Source organism: Homo sapiens, chromosome 1 (genome assembly GCF_000001405.40).
Source record: "Homo sapiens chromosome 1, GRCh38.p14 Primary Assembly".
In the NCBI taxonomy this organism is placed as follows: Eukaryota; Metazoa; Chordata; class Mammalia; order Primates; family Hominidae; genus Homo; species Homo sapiens.
The window spans coordinates 151,620,858-151,639,849 of record NC_000001.11 but is presented as its reverse complement, the minus strand read 5'-3'; the positions used below and the strand labels follow the sequence as shown (position 1 = coordinate 151,639,849).

The 18,992-nt window shown below is 39.1% G+C and overlaps 1 protein-coding gene and 1 pseudogene across 10 annotated transcripts in view; both read right to left on the bottom strand.

The window, feature by feature from the left end:
- The window catches only part of SNX27 (sorting nexin 27), an 87,031-nt gene that overhangs the window by 59,231 nt on the left and 8,808 nt on the right, over positions 1-18,992 (bottom strand). For 5 of the 10 annotated variants that reach the window (NM_030918.6, NM_001330723.2, NM_001437604.1 and 2 more), the window contains exon 2: positions 731-962. The exons of the other annotated variants lie outside the window; for them this stretch is intronic. In NM_030918.6, the coding sequence (NP_112180.4) occupies positions 731-962 (232 nt within the window). The remainder of the gene's footprint in view (positions 1-730; positions 963-18,992) is intronic. 10 annotated transcript variants of the gene reach the window in all.
- On the bottom strand, positions 10,424-10,524 carry RNU6-1062P (RNA, U6 small nuclear 1062, pseudogene; annotated as a pseudogene).

Here is an 18,992-nt window from a genome sequence, read left to right as displayed (position 1 = left end):
AATAAAGCATATTGCAACCAAAAGAAAAATTAAGTAGACTGAGCTATCAGTGGCAATTAGGCTCTGAAGAACAAAGGCATTCAGCAAAGGGGCTAGCACACATCACTAAAAATTCAAGATGGGCTTTCCTGCATAGCTACAACAGCAACAGATTAGAAATGTGTGAAACAGCTCATGGGAATTGCATTCAGGAAACTCGTGGGAAAAACCACAGTTAATCATTCACACGGATATCTCCAAAGAAAATGAAAAAGAACATGATGTGGAAAGAAGAGTAGAGACATCTAAGTTCTGAAATGGGTGAACCTCTCTATTACCCAAATATCTTGAAGGACACCATCCTTTTACATTAATCTTGCCCTATAGCACCACAGAATCAACAGTAAATAAGATACTATTAGCAAAGAGATACGGCAACCAACAAAAGAACAAACAAAAAAGAAACTAAACAAAAACTCACACGTTTACGACAAACCAGAATGCAAACTTGAAACTATCTAAAAATAAAATGGAATTATACTCAAGCTGAGTAGGACTCTTTTCCACTACTGTAATTCACCCCCTGCAATAAATCAGGGTCAGTGTCTTTTATTTATGTGTGAACTCATCCTCCTGGTAGACAAACTGACCTAGGTTGCAGCCTTTTATCTACCACTATAATAGTTTCATAATTATAAGACTAGGGGAAACAAAGCTAGATGTTCGAGGATCGAGTTGGGCTGACACTCACCACAAACTTCTCACCATTCTGCTCCACATGTTTGTATCTGGGGACCGATATGGGCACTGCTTGCTTTTCTGTGTAATCATAAAATGATTGTCCCAACGAGTCGTCACTGGGATCTAGGTTATCTGCCTCATGAGGAGGTACAGATAACACTGTCAAGATCAATTCCTTCTCGCCTGCTCGAATCAGGTCCACCACCTGCTTGTGTGTCGCCCCCTCAACATTCACGTGGTTCCTAAGGGGAAAAAGGGAAAAAGACAATCCCATAAACCAGAAGGGTCCAAACACCTTGTATCTCCACCCTCCTGCCCAAACTCCAGTGTCACACGGTATGAACCATGAAGTCAAAAGATTAATTTGGTTCCAGAAAAGTTGTTTATGTTTTAACAGTTTCTAATGTGAAAAACTTTGTGAACTTATGGCGGGGGGAAAAATGGAAAGAGGTGAGAAGACCTCCCCTTCCTCTATACTAATATCCCACACATAGCTTCAGGAACGCACATGGAAAGAGGCTGAAGCTGAGGAGGAAACAAAGCTTTTTCAGTCAAACAATCCAATTTCCTCATTCTAACTAAGCATGTATACAATTCAATCAAAGTGGCTTTTGACAGCCCTGCCACTTGAATTGTACTTTGTCCTTTTTAAACCTCAAAGGAATTCTGTTAAAAGAACCTTCACAAAATAAATTCTCTTAATTTGTAAATAGAGACTCAAAAAAAGTTATGACTGAAGATAATTCCTTTACATTTACATCCAATTTCTCTCCATATCTCAAATCAGTCAACTTAATTTTCCTTTATGCCAAGTTTCATTACTTTGGGAGCTAAATGGTATTACTCTTCACATACACTAGTTTCCAATTCAATTAACCTCTTGGGATTCCATCAACTTTTTTCCTGCTCTATGCTATCTCATTTAGAGTCCTGTGTAATCAGTCCAAACTAAAAAATATACACCTATAATTATATGGTCAGCCTACTAATTTTCCTTCCTGTTTTGCTGTGTACAAAAGGCTGAAATAAGGCAAACAAAGTACAAGGTTTAGATGAAGTATTTTGTCAAGAAAGATGCTGAGTCTCACAAGACTCCCTCAGCAAACCAAACTACCTTCCAGAATGCTGATCCAGCTGCTCTCTCAGCAAAAACCACTGGGCAGCAGGCCTGGAGGTTCCCTCCCATGGCTATCCCAAGAGAGGTAGGAAATACACACCTGACCTCTAATCAATTTAACATTTAAAGCTTATCTACCCTTTAGAGTTAAATTCTTTTTCAGTCCTGTTCCAAACCATTAGGGATTTTCCTTCCTGAAAAATGATACTAAATTTAGTAACAAGCCTTCCATAAACTTTTCAGTCACTGAAATTGTCTCTGTCAGAGTCTGGTATCTGAAATATCCATTTATATAAACAGAACAGTCAGGAGACCCCCCAGCTAGCCTCCTGGGATTTAATTTAGGGTTTAACAATCTAGCCAGTAAATTCAGCACTCCTGACATTTCACATCCTACAAGTCTAACTTATATACAAAAAAATCAGTAATTTTACAATAAGCTAGCTATAGAAAAAAATAAAGAGCCCCTTTCACTGATGGAAACTTGGGCTTTGAATTCATTCAGTCAGACCTGTGATCAAAAAACATGATCAGGCGCCGGGCGCGGTGGCTCAAGCCTATAATCCCAGCACTTTGGGAGGCCGAGGCGGGTGGATCACAAGGTCAGGAGATCAAGACCTTCCTGGCTAACACGGTGAAACCCTGTCTCTACTAAAAATACAAAAAATTAGCCGGGCATGGTGGTGGGCGCCTGTAGTCCCAGCTACTTGGGAGGCTGAGGCAGGAGAATGGCGTGAACCCGGCAGGCGGAGCTTGCAGTGAGCCCAGATCACGCCACTGCACTCTGCACTCCGCACTCCAGCCTGGCGGACAGAGCAAGACTCTGTCTCAAAAAAAAAAAACAAAAAAACAAAAAAAACGTGATCAACTCTGATCATATACCAGCATGGTAAAATGGAAAGAAAATGGGCTTTGGAGCTACTTACAGGAGTTTAAATCCTGATCCTGACTATTAGTACCAGAATTGGTCTTGACTGAGTTTTTAACCTTTCTTAGCCTTGCTTTCCACATGTGTAAATGGAGACAATAAGTTCCTAACAGAGTTGCTGTGAAGATTAATGTAATAAAACATGTAGAACAATTCCTAAACATTTATATCAGAAGGTTTAAGAAGTAAAGAGGTACTATGTATATAGATTTTGATTAAAGAAGAAATGGAAATCTTAAGTAAGGAACTGGCAAAAGATTTTATCTAAGTATTTGGCCTTACTAGTTCTGAGAAAATGATTTGATGGTATAAGAAAAAAAATGAAAAAGCAAGTTTAGAAATCACCATACATTCTTATATATCCCTAGGAACCTTAGCTAACTCATGAATATCCTTTTTTTTTTTTTTTTTTTTTTTTACAAAAGTGGAAAAAGCTGACACCTTAAAGACTGGCCAAAATACTAATATCTTGGATACAGGCTAGGCACAGTGTGGCTCACACCTGTAATCCCAGCACTTTAGGAGGCCAAGGCAGATGAATCACTTGAGTTCAGGAGTTTGAGACCAGCCTGGGCAACATGGTGAAACCCCGTCTCTATACGAAATATACCAAAAGATTAGCCAGGCCTGGTGGCACGTGCCTATAGTTCCAGCTACTTGGGAGGCTGAGCTGGGAAGAACACCTGAGCCTGGGAGTTCAAGGCTGCAGTGAGCTAGATCATGCCACTGCACTCCAGCCTGGGTTACAAAAGAAGATCCTGTTTTTTAAAAAATGAAATAAAATAAAATCTTAAATACCAAAACAAAATTTCTGTTAATGCAATCAATTTTATGAAACGCACATTTGTGAAAAATAAAAACTGATGCTCAAATCTTACTTTTCGGTTCCCTGATTTTTTTTCCTTTAAAGAATTTTTTATCTAGGGCACTCTGTTGGTAGACTTGAGAGTCACTGGATCTACAAAATTTGTATGTAAAATTCTTTTTATGTGCCTATTATGCGTTTTTTTCTGGGGAGTTTCCCTAGCTTTCATCAGCTTCAAAAAGGAGTATATAAACTCCAAAAAGATTCAGAACTATTGCTTTCAATACACACCTCCACCCATTCAGTTTTCAAATCAAAATACACCGTTCCTTGGGTCACTCACAAAAATAAACCCTGAAAATCGTCAGAGAAACTTAAGTGAGACTTATACCAAGAGCCATCAGGGAGCAAGGGAGCTCACTTAGGTTTCACTTCTTTATTAGTAAGACCAAGTTTCAGATTGACTATAATTCCAAAAACCTCTTTTAAAAAAAGACAGGAAAAAACTTCCAGTGTCATATTCTAAACAGACTTGCTAATATTTATCTGGTTCAACTATAGAAGGAATGCTATACATTCCATGACTTACTACAAAGTGGGAAATTCCTTCATTCTTCAGAGAATGAAATAAGGTCAGTAAAAACCCCAGGATGTCTGATTTGAAAAAGGGCCCTCCTTCCTGAAGAATTAAGAGGTCTTCACAGTCATAAAAATGTTATATGATATAATTTTTTACAAGAAGGCTACTATACCAGACTCAAATTTGGTGTGGCCCAATACTTTGTATAATTCTGAAGACATAAATTAATGCAAAATATAAATTCTTCAATAAGGAGAAACTTTCAGCAGTACAGACTTCAGGTTCAAAGTATGGGTTTGGGAGTCAAACAGACTTGGGTTTGAATACCAATTGTGCTGTTTAATGGATGAGCCCTTAAGTAAATTACTTTATCTCATTAAATCTCAATTTTCTAATCCATAAAATGGGGTTAATATCATCGGCTAATGGAGTTGTTGTGAAAATTAAAATGAGAGGAAGCTCTAGAACATGGTAACTACTCAATAAATGGTAGCTATTTGTGTTATAGTATTTGTATCAATTGGGCAAACAAGTTGGTAGTATTTTCACCTCCTTGATGATACAAACCTTTTCTACCAGCAATTTCCCTTGCCTTTCAATTCTGTCTTTGTAACATAATCTAGCTGAAATTCATTTGAAAATAAATAATTAAGCTCTCAACCAATGACAATGGGGTTCACAGATAGCCAGCTTCACAAGACCACTGGATCAGTGAAGCACCAATTCTCTTATCACACAAAAGTACTGACTGCCCAGTAGGATCTACCAATATATACTGCTTTTATAAAGAAAGGCAGCAGCTTAAATACATCATCAAAAATGTCTAACACATATGCGATTAAGCAAATACAACAAAATGTAATTATAGAATCTAGGTGATAGGTATACAGGTATTCACTGTACAATTCTCTCAATTTTTCTGTAGGTTTGAAACTTTTCATAATAAAATGAAGGAAAAAATTAAGGGGGCCAAAAATTCCAACAATCCACAAATAAGATGAAAATTTGCTTTAGTTACACAGATGATATCTAATTTATTTTATGTCTTTGGCATTGTAAAGACACACGCGATAATTTTAATAAAATACTTACTTTTACATAAGACCAACATTTGGCCCCAATAGAGAGAGGCCTTAAGCTAGCTAATGGGAGTGGCTTCAAATAAGACTTCTATTCAACCAAAGTTGGCCAGCTAGGGAAACTGCAAAGCTAACATAAACATTTCCAAAAGCAGGAGAAAAAGCTCTAGTCAGGATTTGTATACTACTTGTGAAGGAAGCTATATACAATGAAAACTAGGTATAAATGGAAATATGACAAACCCAATCACTATATATACCACAGCAAAAAGCCATTCTACATAGTAAGCAAAATACTATTTTGACCCTCTGTGACATGCACGAAAGTAATAAAAAAGTAATTAGTCTCTCAGAGGCAGCCCATTAAAAATGGATAATAAATTCCTATAACTGCAAGTGCTAAGACATACATTTCAATTTTGTAGATGGCTATATGCCTACACAATGGCTACATGTCTATAAGAATGGCTAAAATAGAGTGGCAATACCAAGTTTTGCCAAAGATGTGGAACAAGTGCCATTCTTATATACAGCTGATAAGTGCATAAAATAAAAACAATCTAGCAGTTTCTCATAATGTTAAACATACATTTACTACAAGACCCAGCAATTCCACTCCTAGGTATTATCCAAGAGAAAAAAAAAAAACACACATACACATCTACACAAACAACTGTAGTTGAATGTCCACCGCAGCTTTATTCAAAATAGTACAAAACAAAAAACAACCCAATGTCTATCAAAAAGCAAATGGATAAACAAGTTGTGGCATATTCATAAAGTGGAGTATCACAGCAATAAAAGGAAAAAGGAATAAAAAGGAAAAACTACTCATCCCCAACAACATAGATAAATCTCAAAAATACACTCGGCGGGAGGAAAGTGAGACAGAAAAGAATCCGACTCATTTGACTCCATTTATTTGAAGTTCTGGAATAGACAAAACTATTCTTTAGTGGTAGAAATCAAATCACTTGTTGTCTGGAGGGGAGGGGATAGTACTGAATGCAAAGGGGCACAAAGAAACTTTCTTACGTGTCACGCCTGTAATCCCAGCACTGTGGGAGGCAGAGGCAGGGCGGATCACTTGAGCTCAGGAGTTTGAGACCAGCCTGGGCAACAAGGCGAAACCCCATCTCTACAAAAAATACAAAAAATTAGCTGGGCATCCTGGAGCAGGCCTGCAGTCCTGGCTACTTGGGGACTGAGGTAGGAGGATTGCTTGTACCTGGGAGTCAAGGCTGTAGTGAGCCAAGATCTCACCGCCGCACTCCAGCCTAGGTGACAAAGTGAGACTCTGTGTCAGGAAAAAAAGAAAAAGTGATGGAACTGTCTGTATCTTGACTGGGGTGGTGGTTAAATGGATGTATACTTTTGCCAAAACTCAAACTCTATGCTTCATATGTGTGCATTTAACTGTATGTTAATTAAGCCTCAGTAAAGTTTATTGGCCGAGCGCGGTGGCTCAAGCCTGTAATCCCAGCACTTTGGGAGGCTGAGGAGGGCAGATCACGAGGTCAGGAGATCAAGACCATCCTGGCTAACACGGTGAAACCCCATCTCTACTAGAAATACAAAAAAATTAGCCAGGCGTAGTGGCGGGCGCCTGTAGTCCCAGCTACTAGGGAGGCTGAGGCAGGAGAATGGCGTGAACCCGGGAGGTGGAGCTTGCAGTGAGCTGAGATTGTGCCACTGCACTCCAGCCTGGGCGACAGAGCCAGACTCCGTCTCAAAAAAAATAAAAAATAAAAATAAATAAAATAAAAATAAAAATTATTATATAATATCCACATCTGTAAGTGTGAAATAGGAGTCCACCATCTGGGTGAAAAGCATAACCCCTATTCTACTTTTAGATTACTCTGAATGTTTTGCTATTGTGAATAAATTTGTTAAATATCTAGTAGATGAATCTGTACATATCTGCAGCATAAAACTGCTTAAATAAAATATATGCTTTTTCCTTCACCTCCCATGTCTTGTGGAAAATAAGCTAAACTTTGGCTATTTCCAAGTCTTACAAGGTTATTTCATGGAGGTAATGAAAAGAAAATTAAGACACAGCTAGTTTACCCCTACTTCTGCTTTGGCTTTTTTGTCTTAATCTCCTATAAACAATAGGACACATATTTCAAACCTAGTATAGTTAAAAACCTCAGCAACATGTCCAGGTGCGGTGGCTCATGCCTGTAATCCCAGCACTTTGGGAAGCTGAGGTGAGCAGATCACAAGGTCAGGAGTTCAAGACCAGCCTGGCCAACATGGTGAAACCCCGTCTCTACTAAAAATACAAAAATTAGCCGGGCGTGGTGGCGCATGCCTGTAATCCCAGCTACTTGGAAGGCTGAGGCAGGAGAATCACTTGAAACTGGAAGGCAGACATTGCAGTGAGCCGAGATCGCACCACTGCACTCCAGCCTGGGCAACAAGAGCAAAACTCCATCTCAAAAAAAAAAAACAACCTCCGCAACAAATTATAAAGTTAAGTCAGATAACAGCAGCATCTCTCAAGTTTATCAAAGCCATAATGTAAGGGACAAAAGTTAAATTCATCAAACACTGCAAAAATACCATTATAGTGCATTACAAACATAATTCAGATTCTTTTTCTTAGGAGGCCTAGATTTCACTTGTTAGATTTTTAAGGGTCAAGCACAGTGGCTAACAACTATAATCCCAACACTTTGGGAGGCCGCAGTGGGAGGATCACTTGAGCCCAGGAGTTCAAGACAGCCTGAGCAACATGGTGGGACTCCGCCTTTACAAAAAATATTTTAAAAATTAGCTGGGCCTGGTGGTGCACACGTATTGTCCCAGCTACCTGAGAGGATTGCTTGAACCCAGGAGGCAGAGGTGGCAGTGAGCTGAGATTGCGCCACCGCACTCCAGTCTGGGTGACAGAGGAGACCCTGTCTCAAGGAAAAAAAAAATTTAAGCATTTAAGATTGTAAAGCATTTTCTTCTGACCAAGTATTTGAAAAGTAATTTGTTCAGCCAAATAATATCCAACATTAGAGAAACCTTTAAAGACACTGAAGTACATCAAACATATGGACTATAAACATCTTAAAAATATTTATGAAAACTATATGCAAACATGGAGAAGTTCTTATGTTAAATGCAAAAACGAAGATTACAAATTGTTTCTATTTTAGCCCATAAGGCACATTATGTAAAATACAAAAATAGTTGAGTTAGGGTGACTGGAACTATGTTTAAAACTTTAACACAGCTATTATATCATCTCCTCAATTATACAGAGCTTTGTAAATGAACTCCCTACCTTCTCCACAACATATCTTCTTAAAAATTAGGAGATCTCTGAAGTTGAAGGAAAAAAGACCCCTGGCATATGAGAAGAGAGACACTTCCTTTGACTTTTCACTGGTTCACTGCTTAGTTGTTCAGTACAACTGTACTAGAAACTACACTGTAAAGACAAGGAACTACTCCACCAAAATGTAAGGGTCTGTCCTTTCTAATTTTTGCAGTTAAATCATCTGACTGGTTCAGTTTGTCTCCTTTTCATCTAACTCTGCCTCCTTGCTATCTTACTTAGGCAAACAAGTGGAAGAATATTCTTTTTTTTGAGACGGAGTCTCACTCTGTCGCCCAGGCTAGAGTGCAGTGGCACAATCTCAGCTCACTGCCAGCTCCGCCTCCCGGGTTCACGCCATTCTCCCGCCTCAGCCTCCCGAGTAGCTGGAACTACAGGCGCCCGCCACCACACCCAGCTAATTTTTGTATTTTTAGTAGAGACGGGGTTTCACCGTGTTAGCCAGGATGGTCTCGATCTCCTGACCTCGTGATCCACCCACCTCGGCCTCCCAAAGTGCTGGGATTACAGGCGTGAGCCACCGTGCCCGGCCGAAGAATATTCTTACTGACTAATTATATAAGCAATCATACTATACTTTGCCCTTAAACTCTTGAGATATAAGATTAGACATGTGTAAGCAATGAATGCAGCCAAAATAGTTGTGAAGCTTGAACAGATTTAAACAAAATTTCCATTCTGGATCACTAAATATCAAAGACATTTGGAATGTTGTTTTAGAAATAATAATATTTTGCCCCTCACATCTTAGAGCATCTTATTTATTGATGGATGATAAAAGCACAACAAGAGAAAGTAAATGGCCAAAGTTTTCCAAAATGCTTGCATTTTCTAATAAATAGTAAAATCTGGTCAACAACTTTTAAAATAAAAAATTATTATCTTAATTATTTTTAATATCAACTTTTATCATCTAGAATATGAGATGGTTTTATAAATAGGTAAAATCCTTTAGAAAGTAATTTCACTGGCAATATGCATCTAAAGATATAAAAATGGTCATAATATTTTAACTAATAATTGTATTACTGAGAATTTATCCTAAGGCAATGACCAAAATATGAGCTTCGTAAGGGCAAAAATTTTACAATGGTATGCAGAACACTCTCAAGTATTTCTTCTAAGAATAAATGAAATAATCCCAAACACAAAAAAGTTTCTTTTTTTTTTTTTGAGACAAAGTCTCACTCTGTCGCCCAGGCTGGAGTGCAGTGGTGCGATCTCGGCTCACTACAACCTTCGCCTCCCGGGTTCAAGCGATTCTCCTGCCTCAGCCTCCTGAGTAGCTGGGATTACAGGTGCAGGCCACCACGCCCTGCTAATTTTTGTATTTTCAGTAGAGACAGGGCTTCACCACGTTGATCAGGCTGGCCTCACAAAAAAATATATATATATATGGAACAGTGGCCGGGCACATTGGCTCACGCCTGTAATCCCAGCACTTTGGGAGGCTGAGGCAGGCAGATCACCTGAGGTCAGGAGTTTAAGGCCAGCCTGGCCAACATGGTAAAACCCCGTCTCTACCAAAAATACAAAAAATTAGCCGGGCATGGTGGCACGCACATGTAGACCCTCAGGAGGCTCAGGCAGGAGAATCGCTTGAACCCAGGAAGCAGAGGTTGCAGTGAGCTGAGATTGCCCCACTGCACTCCAGCCTGGTCAACAGAGTGAGACTCTGTCTCAAAAAAAAAAAAAAATTATATATATACACATATATACACACACATATATACAAACATATATATACGTATACATGTATATATACGTGTATATATGTATATATATACGCATACATGTATATATACGTATATATGTATATATACGTATATATACATGTGTATATATGTGCGTGTATATATATGGAACACTTCACAAATTTACGTATGATCCTTCCACAGGGGCCATGCTAATCTTCTCTGTATCGTTCTAATTTTACTATATGGGCTGCTGAAGCAAGCGCCTAAACACAAAAAAGCTAAGCACAAACATATCCATTATTATTTAGGTTGTTTCCAAATTTGTTTTTATAAAAAGTCAATAGGGGGATGAAAATGTAAGAAAATTGTAGTACAATAATTTAACAAACTAGAAAGCAATCATGTAAAATTGTAAACATGAAGAACAAAATAATCTAGAAATGTTTGAGCCAATGCTGCCTAAAAGTGGATTACAAAAATACAAATCTACAAAACTTCTAAAAGATAACATAGGAGAAAATCTAGGGGGTTGGCAATGAGATCTCAGCTACAACACCAAAAAGCATGATCCATGAAGGAAAAAAATTGCTAAGTTGAACTTTATTAAAATTGAAAACTTCTGCTCTGCAAGAGACACTGTTAAGAGAATGAAAAAACAAAACAGACTAGGAGAAAATATTTGCAAAACACACATCTGATAAAACACTTGTATCCAAAATATACAAAGAGCTATTAAAACTCAACAATAAGAAAACAAACAACCCAATTTAAAAATGGGCAAAATATCTGGACAGATACCTCACCAAGGAAGATATACAGATGGCAAATAAGCATATAAGATGCTCAATATCATTCATCATCAGGGAACTGCAAATGAAAACAAGATACCACTACACGCCTATTAGAATGCCTAAAATCAAAAAACCTGGTAATACCAAATACCAAATGCTGGTGAGGATGTGGAGCAACAGCAATCCTCATTCACTGCTGGTGGGAATACAAAATGATAGTCATTTTGGAAGACAGTTTGGCAGCTTTTTACAGTCTTACCATAAGATCCAGCAATCACATTCCCAGGTATTTACCCAACTGAGCTGAAAACTTACATCTACACAAAAACCTGCACGTAAATAAATGTTTATGGCAGCTTTATTCATAATTGCCAAAAAACTGTAAGTAACCAAGATGTCCTTCAATAGATGAATAAACAATCTGTGGAAGAGCCATACAGTTGAGTATTATGCCTCTAAAAGAAGAAATGAGCTATTAAGCCAAGAAAAGGTCGGACGCAGTGGCTCATGCCTGCAATCCCAGTACTTAGGTAGGCGAAGATGGGCGTTTCACCTGAGGTCAGGAGTTTGACACCAGCCTGGCCAATACGGTAAAACCCCATCACTACTAAAAATACAAAAATTAGCTGGGCATGGTGGCGGGCGCCTGTAATCCCAGCTACTCAAGAGGCTGCGGCAGGAGAATCGCTTGAACCCAGGAGGTGTAGGTTGCAGTGAGCCAAGATTGCACCACTGCACTCCAGCCTGGGCGACAGAGTGAAATTCCATCTAAAAAAAAAAAAAAAAAAACAGTCATGAAAAGACATGCAGGAACCTTAAGTCCATGTTGCCAAGGGAAAGAAGCCAGTCTGAAAGGCTACTATATATGTATTATTCCAATTATATGACATTCCAGAAAAGGCAAAGATCAGTGGTTACCAGGGGCCTGTGGAGAAGATAAGGATGAATTAGCGAAGCACAGGGAATTTTTAGGGTAGTGAAATTATTCTGTACGATACTGTAATGGTGCATATATGACATAATGCATGTCAAAATCTATAGAACTTTATAGAACAAAGAGTGAACCTTGGCCAGGCGCAGTGGCTTACACCTGTAATCCTAGCACTTTGGGAAGCCAAAGCGGGTGGACTGTTTGAGCCCAGGAGTTCGAGACCAGCCTGGGCATCATGGCGAAACCCCATCTCTATTTAAAAAAACAAAAACAAAAAACACCAAGAACAGTGTGAACCTTAATATATGCAAATATTTTAAAAATCAGTTAGTAGGTTGGAAGAATCCCAGACTGTGACAAGAGAACCTAACTGTATTTCAAAGGTATTTTTAAAAACCTTACTAAAGTGAGTAGAGGAAAAGTTATGGATCTAAGTGACTGTAAAGGAAAAGAGTCCATAAGACTAAACGCAAAAGGGACTACCAATAAGTACTGTACTTTAGTCAATAAAGTTGTTTTCCACGAGGGTACTCGTTAACAATTCTGATACTGCTAAACAAGTGTATTGGAATTGAACAATTAAGTAAATGGGTGGCAGATGGGAAAAGCCAAGTTTCTCACTGTGGAATGGAAATTCACGGAAGATCAGCAAGGGGAGGAGGCTAGAATAATCCATGTGGTAATGCAGTAGAGATGAAGAATCAGAACTCATGTTTAATTTAATATAATACAGAGGGTTACATAGAGAAGTATTTATAGATATGTATATACACAAGAGTTAATATACACACACAAATTTCTTTGCTGTCAGCCGAAATGGCCTAAAAGAAACCACACCCTAATGCCCAGAATGCCCAGATCTTGGTCTGTAAAACCAATAAAGGAACCAGGGACCTTTAAATAAATGGTTGATTCTAGGACTACAGCAGGAAATATACAAGATGAGCCTGGAGCACTTTACAGTATTAGAAAACAAAACAAAACAAAAACTATCTTGTCTCTCTTCAGTCATGATTTAGTGTAACCACTGACCAGCCTTAGCAACTGCCTAAATACAAGTGAGCAGAAAACAACAACCTCAAAGTTATAGGGTCCCAAAATTTCAATCAATTTAAGTTTTCTCTTCTTCATTTTACATTTATTTATTTATTTATTTATTTATTTAGACGGAGTCTTGCTCTGTCGCCCAGGCTGGAGTGCAGTGGCACGATCTTGGCTCACTGCAACCTCTGCCTCCCAAGTTCAAGTGATTCTCCTGCCTCAGCCTCCCAAGTAGCTGGGACTACAGGGGCACGCCACCACACCCAGCTAATTTTTTGCATTTTCAGTAGAGACAGGTTTCTCCATGCTGGCCAGGATGGTCTTGATCTCTTGAATCTCATGATAAAACAGTATTCTCTTCCTGATTTTTAAAACCATTATCATAAAACATTCTTTTAATGCAATAATTCTGACAAATTATTCTTTTTTAGAAAGAGACAATATAAAAGTGTCTTGGCTCAAAATAAGTCCAAAAATAAAAACAAGCCAAAAAAACCTTCATTTAATTCTAATTAGGTCTCATCTTTGGCAAATGTAGGGAAAAACAAAAAAAAAAAAGTTAATCACATACAGACCAAATTGAACAAATTTCCAAGGTTTTATAGAGAGAGCTTTACTTCTCAAATCCTTTGGTACCTTTTTTTAAGTATGGAAAGATTGATTCAATCTTTTTTAATTTTATTTTTTATTTTTTTGAAACGGAGTCTCGCTCTGTCGCCCAGGGTGGAGTGCAGTGGCGCCATCTCGGCTCACTGCAAGCGACACCTCCTGGGTTCATGTCATTCTCCTGCTTCAGCCTCCAGAGTAGCTGGGATTACATGTGTGGGCCATTGCGCCCGGCCCAATCTTTTATTTTTATTTTATTTTTTTTTTGGTGACACAGTCTCACTCTGTTGCCCAAGCTCTGGAATGCAGTGGCCTGATCTCGGCTCACTACAACCTCTGCCTCCCAGGCTCAAGCAATTCTCCTGCCTCAGCCTCCCGAGCAGCAGGGATTACAGGTGTGTGCCACCACACCCTGCTTTTTTTTTTTTTTTTTGGACACAGAGTCTTGCTCTGTTGCCAGGATAGAGTGCACTGGTGTGGTCTCGAATCACTGCAACTTCCACCGCCCCGGTTCAAGTGATTCTCCCGCTAATTTTTGTGTTTATAGTAGAGACGGGGTTTCACCATGTTGATCAGCTGGTCTTGAACTCATGACCTCAAGTGATCTGCCCCTTCAGCCTCCCATAGTGCTCAGATTACAGGCATGAGCCACCACACCTGGCCAGATTCAACCTTTATACCAATATTTTTTTATTTATCTTTTTTTTTTTTTGAGACAGAGTCTTGCTCTGTCACCCAGGCTGGAGTGCAGTGGCATGATCTCAGCTCACTGCAATCTCCATCTCCTTGGTTCAAGCAATTCTCCTGCCTCAGCCTCCCCAGTAGTTAGGATTACAGGTGCATGCCACCACACCTGACTAATTTTTGTATTTTTAATGAAGACGGGGTTTCACCATGTTGGCCAGGCTAGTCTCGAACCCCTGACCTCAAGTGATCTGCCGCTTCGGCCTCCCAAAGTACTGGGATTACAGGCGTCAGCCACAGCGCCTGGCCTACACCAGTATTTTTAAAGCACCTACGTCCAAAAATTTAACACTGGGCAAAAGCGCGTATTAATAACAATAAAGTTTGCCCCTGGCAAAGCTGAGAAACTGAGAAGTATGTTAATTGGCATCTGGTCTTCCCAAAAAGGAAAAAAAAGAATAAATAACTTGTCAAATAAGTTGCTTACCATCACTGGGACTTTTTACCTTTGACCGGGTGTTCTATTTACAAAGAATGCTGCCTGAGGCAGAAGAAGTACAAATAAGACTCATCTGTTCTTCAACCTTAATACCTCCAGCCAGAAGTAACAAGAGTTTATTACTGGGGAAGAAAGAATTACAGATTCCTCAAACCTTCTAACTCCAAGGCAATCAGTATACAAATATAATCAGGTAGATTTATTTCCAAATAAATGAATCATACTTGTCATTCAGAGAAAAAAGTATAATAAGGCTAAGGATTTAAGATATTTAAAAAATAAATATAAAAATATAATCAAGCTGGCCGGGCGTGGTGGCTCATGTCTGTAATCCCAGCTTTTTGGGAGGCCGAGGTAGGTGTATCACCTGAGGTCAGGAGTTCGAGACCAACCTGATCAATATGGTGAAACCCCATCTCTATTAAAAATACAGAAATTAGCCGGGCGTGCTGGCAGGTGCCTATAGTCCCTGCTACTTGGGAGGCTGAGACCAGAGAATTGCTTGAACCCAGAAGATGGAGGTTGCAATGAGCCAAGATCACGCCACTGCACTCCAGCCTGGGCGACAGAGCAAGACTCCATCGCAAAAAAAAAAAAAATACATATATATATATATATATATATAAAATCAAGCTATTCAGAAAAAAAAAGCTCATTTATTATCTGATCATTACCTGAAAAGCCAATGTAACCACTTGTCACCAAGAATAAAAACAAACCTGTCCATTTCACTCTTAGTAGAATACAAAATTCTAGTTTTAGAATTTTAGGCCAGGTGAGGTGGCTCACTCCTGTAATCCCAACACTTTGGGAGGCCAAGGCAGGAGGACGGCTTGAGCCCAGGAGTTTGAGACCAGCCTGGGGAACATAGCAAGACCCTAACTTTACAAAAAAATTTTTAAAAATGAGCTGTGTATGGTGGCACACACCCATAGTCCCAGCTACTCAGGAGGCTGAGGCAGAAGGATCACTTGAGCCCAGGAGATCAATAGCTGCAGTGAGTTATGATTGTGCCACTGCACTCCAGCATGGGTGAAAGAGTGATACCTTGTCTCTAAAATAAATAAATAAATAAATTTTTAAAAAATGTAAGCACAATGTCTTTATCACATGTGAGAGGCTAAAGAATTACCAGTGAGGTCTTAAAGTAAGTTCTGATGCTCCAAAAATATAAAACACTGATTTATTTTGTCTGGATAGGATTTTTTTTTCATTTTTATCTTTAAAAACCTGATCAATATAGAGCAACCCTATAGTTCTAGCCTATCATAGAGTAGACATGACAATGGGTTACTTCTTTGTACTGGAGGACAATAAATGTTAGAAATGGGAAAGGGTCAGGCGCAGTGGCTCATACTTATAATCCCAGCACTTTGGGAGGCCGAGACGGGAGGATCATTTGAATCCACAAGTTCAAGACCAGTCTGGGCAACAAAGTGGGACCTTGTCTCTACAAAAAAAATATAAAAATTAGGTTAGGAGTGGTGGCTCATGCCTGTAATCTCAGCATTTTGGGCGGCCAAGGCAGGCAGATCACTGAGGTCAGGAGAAGACCAGACTGGCCAACATGGTGAAACCCCGTCTCTATTAAAAAATACTGGGCGCGGTGGCTCACGCCTGTAATCCCAGCACTTTGGGAGGCCAAGGTGGGCGGATCACGAGGTCAGAAGATAGAGACCATCCTGGCTAACAAGGTGAAACCCCGTCTCTACTAAAAATACAAAAAATTAGCCAAGTATGGTGGCCCGCACCTGTAGTCCCAGCTACTCGGGAGGCTGAGTCAGGAGAATCACTTGAACCTGGGAGGCAGAATTGCAGTAAGCCAAAATCGTGCCACTGCACTCCAGCCTGGGCGACAGCGAGACTCCATCTCAAAAAAAAAATATATATATATATTAGGCAGGTATGGTGGCATGTGCCTGTAATCCCAGCTACTTGGGAGGCTGAGGCAGGATAATCACTTGGACCTGGGAGGGGGAGGTTGCAGTGAGCTGAGATCATACCACTGCACTCCAGCCTGGGCGACAGGGCAAGACTGTTTCAAAAAAAATAAGTAAATAAAATAAACAAATAATATAAAAACTAGCCAGGTGTAGTACATGCATGTGGTCCCAGCTACTTGGGAGGCTGAGATGGGAGAATCCCTTGAGTCCAGGAGGTTGTGGCTTCAGTAAGCTGTGATCGCACCACTACACTCCAGGCTGGGCAAGAAAAATAAATTAAATTTAAAAAAAAGAAATGGGAAAGAAAGTTGCTAATAGCCATGATGATTTTCCTAAAGTAACTCATTTTCCTCCTACACATTTCTGAGGATCCCCCACTCAGTTGTTCACCACCAAAACACAACTAGTCCTAAATTATTTCCCAACACCAACTCAGTGTTTGAGAGCTGCTACATTTTGAATCATTGTCAACATGGCCAATTTAAATGCTACCCCCAGATGATTTTAACTTGGTATACTGACCACAGTGAAAGTTAATTAAAGAATAAAATATACTTGTTTTATCAATAACCTTGGTTTGCAAGTCAAGTAAATCATCAAAGGAAAAAAAATTTTGATAATTCTGAAGTTCTATTACACTACTATTTCTGAATTACTACATAATGTAATTAAAAACATTATCCCTCACGTGATCTGGTAAATTTGTTCTGGGGCCGCAACCTGAACCCTGAATCTCAACCACCCATTTCCTATATATTCAATTAATCCCAAGTGGTCCTGTACATGAATGTGAACAGATAGTGTAATCTATCATGACAACTGAAAAAAACAGCTGAAATACCTTCATTTATGAAAGACAGTCTTTACAAATTAGTAACAAGATATACTTTTGAAGGGATATGACCCTTTGACGATCAAATACCATCTTTTAATCCAAATTAAATTTGAGCAATTTATTTTGGAAATGAGAAACACAGACTACAATTTCTGTAAGTCTGTAGTCCATTCCAACATATTGAAAGAGAAGAAAGGTACAGTCGGACCTTTTCCAAATGAGGAATATAAAAGATAACTGGGTAAGACAGGGAAATCTAAAATAATCTACTAGCACATAACTCACAAACGAAACTTCAGTGTCACATTTCCTTGATACAAAACCTCAGGTAGAGAGAACAAAACTCATTGCTGTTTCCAAGTAAAGACAGAGGCAGGAACAAACGTTCTAGATGATTAAACTGATCAGCAAAATAAGTAGAAAAAGTTTCCAAAATTCTCAGAGGCCATCATGCTTTCCAAGATCTCCAAATATTCATTTAATCAATCTCCCAATTTTTAAAACATAATAAATAAATATAAATAAAACTAGATCAACACATAGATATAAAAGTACTGTGGTATTTGCGGGTGGAAGAGACAACCTTCCTAGTTAATAATCTTATTGAAAGTTCTTTAAGAGTAATCAGCCTCTTGAAAGCAGCTGGGAGAGCATGCACCAGAGCAGCTGACTCTCTGCAGACTGCCTGTACTTTTCCAGAGGGAAGTAAGCTAATTCCTTGTGTATCAGGCCTGTAGAAAACATAGGCCTATCATTCTGGTCTTGCTCTGAGGTTTGACACAAGAATCTAAAAAGTTTCAGACAGCTTAAGCAAAAACAGACCATTTCTTAAAAGATGTTTTCGTATCAGTGGAAGTTCACTGAGGAAGTACACATAAGAGTACTCAAATACAACTCCTTATTCAGCAACTCAATACCTTGCAGAAAGGCACATTTCCTCAACTATTATGAGAACCTTATTTAGTTGGCAGGGAGCAATAAATAATAAACAAGAGACTACACACATACTACCTAGCATTTGACTAATACCATACCACAAAATTTAACCCTGGAGTACGAATATTATGAAAGAAAGCAACAATTCACTTTGTGATCACCACCAGGTCTTAAACTTATTTGAAGGAGCTTCACATGAATTTTCATTTTGAAGGTAGGTATTAAGTGTAAACTTTAGTACCACATTAAGTTTCCCCCCCGTCTTCAGTCCACTCAGCTCCCAACATGCTGTATGCCAAAATAAAAGATTTAAATTAAAAGAAGCATCTTCGGCCAGGTGCAGTGGCTTATGCCTGTAATCCCAGTACTTTGGGAGGCCGAGGTGGGTGGACTACGAGGTCATGAGTTCAAGACCAGCCTGGCCAGCATGGTGAAACCCGGTCTCTACTAAAAATACAAACAA